Source organism: Homo sapiens, chromosome 17, assembly GCF_000001405.40.
Source record: "Homo sapiens chromosome 17, GRCh38.p14 Primary Assembly".
NCBI classification, from domain to species: domain Eukaryota; kingdom Metazoa; phylum Chordata; class Mammalia; order Primates; family Hominidae; genus Homo; species Homo sapiens.
The window spans coordinates 47612764-47621526 of NC_000017.11; the positions used below are offsets into that span (position 1 = coordinate 47612764).

The following is an 8763-nucleotide window of genomic DNA, read 5'->3' on the forward strand; positions in this document are numbered from 1 at the left end:
AGTGATTCTCCTGCCTCAGCCTCCTGGCTAGCTGATATTACAGGCGCCGCCACCACGCCCAGCTAATTTTTGTATTTTCAGTAGAGACGAGGTTTCGCCATGTTGGCCAGGCTCGTCTCGAACTCCTGACCTCAGGTAATCCACCTGCCTTGGCCTCCCAAAGCGCTGGGATTACAGGTGTGAGCTACCATGCCTGTAACTTTTTTTAAAAAGCCTGGAACATTTTTTAATAGCCAAAACTGACCTAAGAACTGACCCACAAACCACGTCTAACTCTATTTTAATATATACTATTTAAGTGGTTTATAGTCCTCTTCTTATTTGTTTAAAGTTTCTCAGTCAGTGTTGCAGTGCTGAAAGGTGATTAGCTGTGCACATTCCCCTGAAAGCTGCTGTGCTCTGCTGGTACAACATGCCATTTACCTTTGTGGTTGCTCACAGGCACTGCTAGCTCCTTAACTACAGTTTGTAATATTCACATTTATAATATTTACTTTTTTTTTTTTTTTTTTTTTTTTCTGAGACGGAGTCTCACTCTGTTACCCAGGCTGGAGTGCAGTGGTGTGATCTCGGCTCACTGTAGCCTTCACCTCCTGGGTTCAAGCAGTTCTCCGTGCCTCAGCCTCCTGAGTAGCTGGGATTACAGGCACCTGCTACCACGCCCAGCTAATTTTTGTATTTTTAGTAGAGACAGGGTTTCACCATGTTGACCAGGCTGGCCTGGAACTGCTGACCTCAGGTGATCCGCCTGCCTCGGCCTCCCAAAGTGCAGGGATTACAGGCGTGAGTCACCGCAGCCGGCCAACATTTACAATATTGTTTACTTGCTTTCTGTCTTTTCTTAGTATTAGAATACTTGAAACAAGGTACATTTAATCAAATGACTTATTTTTTGTCCCTTGTAGGTCTATCTGACTGTTTTGAAGCATGGTGATGGCACTACTTTAGATATTATGTTAAAAGTAAGTATATTTGAGAAGGCTCCCATTTCCTGCTTTTGAACTTGGATAGACACACAGTAAACCTCTAAATGGTTAAAAAAAAAGACAGTCCTAGAAAAGAAAGATGCATATTGTAGACATGCAAGTATTTTAAAACTGTGAGAGAATTATGTCTATCCATATATGTTATATCAGTATTATCAGTATGATGCCAAAGACATCTTACTTTTCCCCGCCTTTTTTACTCACTTTTTGCATCTGAAATCTTATTATTATTTTTTTTTTTTTTGAGACAAGGTCTCACTCTGTCACCCAGGCTAAAGTGACATAATCATGGATCACTGCAGCATCAACCTCCCAGGCTCAAGTGATCCTCCTGCGTCAGCCTTCCAAGTAGCTGGAATTATAGGAGTGTGATAACCGCATCCAGCTAATTTTTGTGTTTTTTGTAGAGAGAAGGTTTCACCATGCCCAGGCTGGTCTCAAATTCCTGGGGTCAAGTGATACACCCACCTCAGCCTCCCAAAGTGCTGGGATTACAGGCATGAGCTACTGTGCCCAGCTGAAATTTTAACACTGAAATAAATGTTCGTTTTGATTAACAAGTCACTTTCTTTAAATTTTATCTTCAGTGTAAACTTACTTGGGGTTCTGCCCATTTTAAGCAAAACGTTTGTTTCTGTGCTTAGGTTCTGTGCTTAGGTTTGTTTTTGTGCTTAGAAAAGGGATAGACAGATGATGATCAAGTGTCTCAAGCATTTGAGCTATGGCAGGGTCCTTTATTAATAGACAGGAAATTAATTCACCTGCCTTCATAGCCTCTCTAGTTTTCCCAGAGTAATTGGCATATAATTAAGCTCTGACTTAGACAAAATATAGATAAAACTTTCCATGTCCTCATAATGGCAGCAGTGTTTGCAACTTTGAATCAATAGTAGTACTGTGAAGCAAATGCTATCTCCAGTCCCTATTCATACAGTTCCGGTCTATAAAGAAATGGCTTGAGTGCACTGGCTACATTAGAGGTGGAGGTAGCCGAATCTACTTTTTAATCATTAAATAAAATGTGCAAAATGTGCCTAAAAACCCATTTGTTAAAAGATCCACGCTTAGGACAGGAGTGGAATGTGCTTTACTGTCTCTACCTTTCATGGATTAACAACACTCTTCTGACTTACAGGGAGTTCATGATAATCAGCTTCACTGTAGAAATAGCTCTAATGATCATAATTGCAGATCTAAATTCTGATATTTTGGTTTTAAACAAATCCTCTGAAAAATGATTAGGATGTCTGAAAATAAAAACTTTAAGAAACTGTACCTCAAAATGTACTGCTTTACCCATGTTGTAATAGGTTTACTTTCTTTCTTTTTTTTTTTTTTTTTTTTTTTGAGACGGAGTCTCACTCTGTCACCAGGCTGGAGTGTAGTGGCACGATCTTGGCTCACTGCAACCTCTGCCTCCCGGGTTCACGTGATTCTCCTGCCTCAGCCTCCCAAGTAGCTGGGACTACAGGCACCCGCCACCACACCCAGCTAATTTTTGTATTTTCAGTAGAGACGGGGTTTTACCATATTGGCCAGGCAGGCCTCGAACTCCTGACCTTGTGATCCACCCGACTCGGCCTCCCAAAGTGCTGGGATTATAGGCATGAGCCACCATGTCTGGCCTGCTTTCTAAGAATATAAAAGTTATATTTGGGAGAGCTGGGCACGGTGGCATGCACCTATATTTCCAGCTTCTCAGGAGGCTGAGGCAGGAGGAGCGCTTGAGCCCAGGAGTTCAAGGCTGCAGGGAGCTATGATTGTGCCACTGCACTCCAGCCTGCGTGACAGAGCAAGACCCTATCTTAAAAAAGACCCTAAAAAAAGTTAAATTTGGGTTTACTTTCCACCTGAACATTAAGGTCCCTTCTCAGTCTTAATATTCTGTGAACCTGTATACTATAAATGATATGTATGAAATGGGATATTTGATTTTTTTCCATCTATTCCATGATGATATGGAAAAAAATAGGGGTTCTGTAAATTTCATGGCAGATACATTGATATTTTCATGTCATGGCACTTTTAAGATTTTCCACAAGTATGTGTATTTATTCAGAGTTTGCATTTATTTAACACAAGAGAGTTCACGATAATCAGCTTCACTATGGAAATAGCTCTAATGAAGGCCGAATCATGGTTCTTCAAGAAGCCACTTGGTAAGAGATGAGGAGGGTTGTCTTATGATGGTAATTTAGGAATAATGTGGCAGAGTTAAAAAACATTAATTCATAGTATATTTGAAATGTGGTGTTAGAGTGCCATCTAGTGGACTAGAATAACAGTTCTCTATGGAGGAAAACGCTTCCTGAAAGCCAGAGGTTCAGACCTTGAATATTGGAGCTGAAAAGGGCCTTAGAAATTATCTGTCCACCCATCTCATTTTACACATGGGGAAACTGAGACCCAGAGGGATGAAGGACTTAGTCAAGATCACACAGCTAGTTAGAGGCAAAACTGGGACTAGAACCCAGATCTCCCAAGGTCCTGTCTATTTTACTGCACTGCTGCTTAGAGTCCAAAGGGGCCAGGCGTGGTGGTTCATGCCTGTAATCCCAGCACTTTGGATGGGAGGATCACTTGAGGCCAGGAGTTCAAGACCAGCCTGGGCAACATGGAGAAACTCCGGCTCTACTAAAAATAGAAAAATTAGGCCAGGCGCGGTGGCTCACGCCTGCAATCCCAGCACTTTGGGAGGCCGAGGCGGGTGTGGATCACAAGGTCAGGAGTTCAAGACCAGCCTGGCCCAAATGGTGAAACCCTGTCTCTACTAAATATACAAAAATTCGCCGGGTGTGGTGGCGGGCGCCTGTAGTCCCAGCTACTCAGGAGGCTGAGGCAGGAGCATTGCTTGAACCTGGGAGGTGGAGGTTGTGGTGAGCCGATATTGTGCCATTGCACTCCAGCCTGGGTGACAGAGTAAGACTCCGTCTCAAAAAAAAAAAAAGAAAAGAAAAATTAGCTAGGCGTGGTTGTAGTGAGCTGAGGTAACACCATTGCACTCCAGCATGGGCAACAGAGCGAGACTCCATCTCAAAAAAAAAAAAAAAAGAGACCAGCCTGGTCAACACAGCGAGACCCCATCTCTACTTCTTATAAATTAAAATTGTTTATTGAAAAAAAAAAAAGTGTCGAAAGGAAGAGGAAACTGAGAGCTTTGATGAGGTCTCCAGACACTCTGGTCAGTGTTAAATCTTAAGGGGTAGAAAAGATCAAAAGAGTCTAAATTGTCTTGGAGACATAGCTCTTATACATTTATAGTTCTAATTTTTAAGAATTACAACATTTTGTTTCTATGAAAAGATTTTATATACATATATACTATGGAAGATTTAGAGACTAGAAAAGTATAAAGAGGAAAATAAAACTTACCTATAGTTTAGAAAGCAGGTAGCAAAAACAGCATGTATAACATGCTCTCTTTCCAGATTTGTTAATGTACATATAGTAGTAATTTTATTTTTTTCTTTATGCTTCTCTGTCTTTCAGATATTCTGCATTCAGTATGTGCTGCTTTTGCAGTTAAAAAGTGTGAAGATGCATAATCCCACTGATCAGAAACCATCATTAATTAATACTACCATTTTGATGTATTTCCAGGGGTTCTCCCCCACCCCCTTTTTTTGGAAACACAGTCTTGCTCTGTTGTCCAGACTGGAGTGCAGTGGTACGATATGGGCTCACTGCAACCTCCACCTCAGCCTTCCAAAGTGCTAGGATTACAGGCGTGAACCACTGTGCCCAGCCATATATATATATATATTTTTTAGGATAATTCTGCTTTGTCTGCTTTCTTCACTTAAATATAAGAACATGTTTATGATATATTCTTAAAATATAACTTTCAATAATGCATTTTTATAAGTACAGTATTCATTTTCAATTTTTCACTATTATAAATTAATTTGATGATCTGGTATAAGAACACTAATGATTAGTTTGTTCTTCTAAAACAGAACATTAGCCAGATATCAATGATGTAAAGAATTTGGCTATGATAGATTTTACCTCTTAGATCTTGATGTTAAACTGGTCTGAACTAATGACAGGCTGTTCATCTGGTAGCATTTACATCTAGTGATTTACTTACTGTAACAGCAGATGACAAATTTAGTGCCAAAGCATCATTTTTTTTTTCTTTTATTTTTGAGACAGAGTCTCGCTCTCTTGCCCAAACTGGAGTGCAGTGGCACGATCTCAGCTCACTGCAACCTCCCAGGTTCAAGCGATTCTCCCGCCTCGGCCTCCCAAGTAGCTGGGATTACAGGTGGGCACCACCACGCCCGGCTAATTTTTTTTTTTTGTATTTTTAGTAGAAACAGGGTTTCACCATGTTGGCCAGGCTGATCTCGAACTCTTGACCTCAGGTGATCCACCCGCCTCGGCCTCCCAAAGTGCTGGGATTACAGGTGTGAACCACCGCACCTGGCCCAAAGCATCTTGAAAAGTATTCTCTTTCTTTAATATAATGCCCTGCCATTCTTACCTAGTGAGAATATAGAACCTAAGTTTTACCTTACTGGGGAAGAAGCTCATATAATCATATGCAGAACATCCAAGGGAGAGTTAACTATTCCTATCTTTATCTTTTTTCCTGTAGCTTCATAAACAAGCAGATATGCAAGAAGAGAAAAACCGAATCGAAAGAGTCCTTGGCGCTACTCTTTTGCCTGACCTGATTCAAAAAGTCCTCACGTTTGCACTTTCAGTAAGTTACGGTGAAAACTGCATTTAGAAGTGAATCGTTACCCATCTCTGAGAAGTGTCTCTGATTCAGCTCTGATCCTCTTGAGCTGCCTTAACCCTAACTAAAGCTTCCTTTTCCAGAGTAACTGGCTTGAGTTTTTGTTACTGACTTCTGTTTTTCTCCCACTAGTGGCGAGAATCAGAATAGTTGGGAGAGTAAACAAATTGTCTCTCCAGAATGGAAACTATGAGGACAGGGACTCTTGAAAACTGGGAAACTGGCTTATGCCTTTGCTTACTTTGTGTCTCTTCCTTTCTTAAACCTATAGGCTCCTAAGCAAGTATCTGTTGAGCAGTCTGTCTGTCTGAACCTGTCTCAGTACCTCATTCTCATTTTGGTTATCTTTAGCTTAAACATTATCTTCTTTGCTGAGAACTTCTGGTTCCAGTTATTCCTAAAACAAGGAATAAGTGTCTTCAGTGTGATTACTTCAGTGTCACAGTATGGTGCACTTTCTGGTACCAGAATATGTTTTTGATACACTAGACTTTTAGCTCTCTTTCTTTTTTTAGGAAGAGGTACGTCCACAGGACACTGTATCGGTAATTGGTGGAGTAGCTGGAGGCAGCAAGCATGGTAGGAAAGCTGCTTGGAAATTCATAAAGGACAACTGGGAAGAACTTTATAACCGATACCAGGGAGGATTCTTAATATCCAGACTAATAAAGGTATGTGAAAAACTTTGAGTAGCTTGCTAATCATGGATATTATTTAGTGACATCCATGATTCACTACACCCATACATTGTGGTCTTTGCTCTTTAAATGTTTCCTGTGGCCAGGTGCAGTGGCTCACGCCTGTAATACCAGCACTTTGGGACGCCGAGGTGGGCAGATCACCTGAGGTCGGGAGTTCGAGACTATCCTGGCCAACATGGTGAAATCCTGTCCCTACTAAAAATACAAAAATTAGCTGAGCGTGGTGGTGTGTGCCTGTAATCCCAGCTACTTGGGAGGCTGAGGCAGGAGAATCGCTTGAACCTGGGAGGCAGAGGTTGTGGTGAGCCGAGATGAGGTCATTGCACTCCAGCCTGGGCAACAAGTGTGAAACTCCGTCTCAAAAAAAAAAAAGTTTCCTTAAATAGTTACTGGCTTTATTTAAGGACTTCTCCATCTCCCATCACACATCCTTTATAACAGACTGAAGTTGGCAGAGAACAGAATGATTTATTTTTAGGGTAAATGGAAGTTTGTTCTCAGCCTCTTGGTTTCACTTACTGTTTAAAACCATTGTTTTGCAGCTATCAGTTGAGGGATTTGCAGTTGATAAAATGGCTGGAGAGGTTAAGGTAAGGAAAATACTGTTTACTCTTCACTTTTCAGTCTAGTAAGTAAAAACAATAACCTGGTTGTAATTATAGTGTTGGGATAATGTACTGTAGCATCTCTGTGTTTTTGTTTAGAGAAAGACATCATGCAGGGCTGTATAGGCCATATTAAGAATTTCCTAAAAATGGCCAGGCATGGTAGCTCACATCTGTAATCTCAGCACTTTGGGAGGCCGAGGTGGGTGGATCACCTGAGGTCAGGACTTCAAGACCAGCCCGGGCAACATGGTGAAACCCCAAATTAGCTGGACATGGTGGTGCACGCCTCTAATCCCAGCTACTCGGGAGGCTGAGGCAGGAGAATTGCTTGAGCCCGGGAGGTGGAGGTTGCAGTGAGCTGAGATCGTGCCATTGCACTCCAGCCTGGGTGACAGAGCGAGACTCCTGTCTCAAAAAAAAAAAAAAAAAAAAAAGTCCTAAAAATGGAAAGCCTTCGAATGGTTTATAAACAAGGCAGTGCCTTGATCTGATTTGTGTTATAAAAATTTCAGTCTGGCTGCAATGTGGATAATAGTTTGGAATGGGGAAGAGAAGATGTTGGGAAGCTAACTCTCCTAGCAAGAATGATAGAATAGCTTACAGTAGGGTAGTGGCAGTAGTGGAGGAGATGGAATAATGGAGATTCAGGGGCTTGAATTTGTTAACCATTTAGTTCAACAATATTTATTGATTGGCTTCTCTGTTGTGAGCATATCTGGGAGAGGAAGAAAAACAAGCCAGGATAATCCCCAGGTTTCTGGTGTATAAATGTTGGTACTACTCTGCGATGGAATGGAAAAAGACTTGAGGCCCTGAGAACTGAACCATGATTAGGAGCCTTGGAACAGTAGCAATTGTCATCTGTGTAAATAAGGTTATTGATTTCTAAAAGGTCTATGTTTAATCAGATGGATTAGTCATTCTGTCTTTCACACCTGTGGTGACTAATTCAAAGGAAAAGCCCTATCATTTTGCCAGCTGGTGTTTAAGAGTTGCTTTGTTTTCTGTGAAACCAGGTGTACTGCATTAGAAAAGTTTATTCAACTTTTAATCATTAAGCATTGTGATAAATTGTAAACTTAGAAATTGTTTGGTTTACTGTATTAAAAATGTTGGATTCCTGTAATTCCAGCATTTTGGGAGGCTGAGGTGGGAGGATTGCTTGAGTTCAAGAGTTCAAGACCAGTCTGGGCAACATGGTAGGACCCCATCTCTACAAAAAGGAAAAAACAATTTGGCCTGGGAGTGCACGCTTGTGGTCCCAGCTACCCAGGAAGTTAAGGTGGGAGGTTTACTTGAGCCCAGAAGGTTGAGGCTGTGATGAGCCATGATCGTTTCATTGCACTCTAGCCTGGGCAACAGAGTGAGACCCTGTCTCAAAAAAAAAAAAAAAAAAAAGACCATGGGGTGTTAAATTATTAGGGCATAGCAGCAATTTAAACTTCTTTGTATTATCATCCCTTACAAATTAATCTTTATTTGAAGCAGCCAAAATGTGTTGAATCCTTAAGTACTCTGTGCTAGGTATTTTGTCAAATGTTTATATGGATTGTCTCTTTAATCTTCTGGAGTAGATATTTTCTCATAGTTGAGAAAACTGAGACTTAGAGCAGTTAATTTTCTCACAGTCACAAGCTAGTACATGACTAAGCCTGGATTCAGGTTCCAAGTCTTCATTCCAAAGACTATATTTACCACTACACAATTAGCCTAAAAGAAAGGCA

The 8763-nt window shown here is 41.1% G+C and overlaps 1 protein-coding gene across 6 annotated transcripts in view, besides 1 other annotated feature; it reads left to right on the forward strand.

The window, feature by feature from the left end:
- NPEPPS (aminopeptidase puromycin sensitive) overlaps positions 1 to 8763 on the forward strand; it is a 100344-nt gene that overhangs the window by 89831 nt on the left and 1750 nt on the right. For 3 of the 6 annotated variants that reach the window (XM_017025373.1, NM_001411130.1, XM_047437107.1), the window contains 5 exons: positions 906 to 962; positions 5587 to 5694; positions 6246 to 6401; positions 6515 to 6609; positions 6974 to 7021. In XM_017025373.1, the coding sequence (XP_016880862.1) occupies positions 906 to 962; positions 5587 to 5694; positions 6246 to 6401; positions 6515 to 6609; positions 6974 to 7021 (464 nt within the window). The remainder of the gene's footprint in view (positions 1 to 905; positions 963 to 5586; positions 5695 to 6245; positions 6402 to 6514; positions 6610 to 6973; positions 7022 to 8763) is intronic. The other 3 variants (NM_001330257.2, NM_006310.4, XM_047437108.1) reach the window with 1 other exon arrangement.
- Positions 3218 to 3719: an enhancer, noted in NCBI's record as "H3K4me1 hESC enhancer chr17:45693347-45693848 (GRCh37/hg19 assembly coordinates)". NCBI's record gives its function as "activates a minimal SCP1, AML or CMV promoter by ChIP-STARR-seq in primed H9 embryonic stem cells {active_cell/tissue: H9 hESC(primed)}" and the evidence as "EXISTENCE:reporter gene assay evidence [ECO:0000049][PMID:30033119]".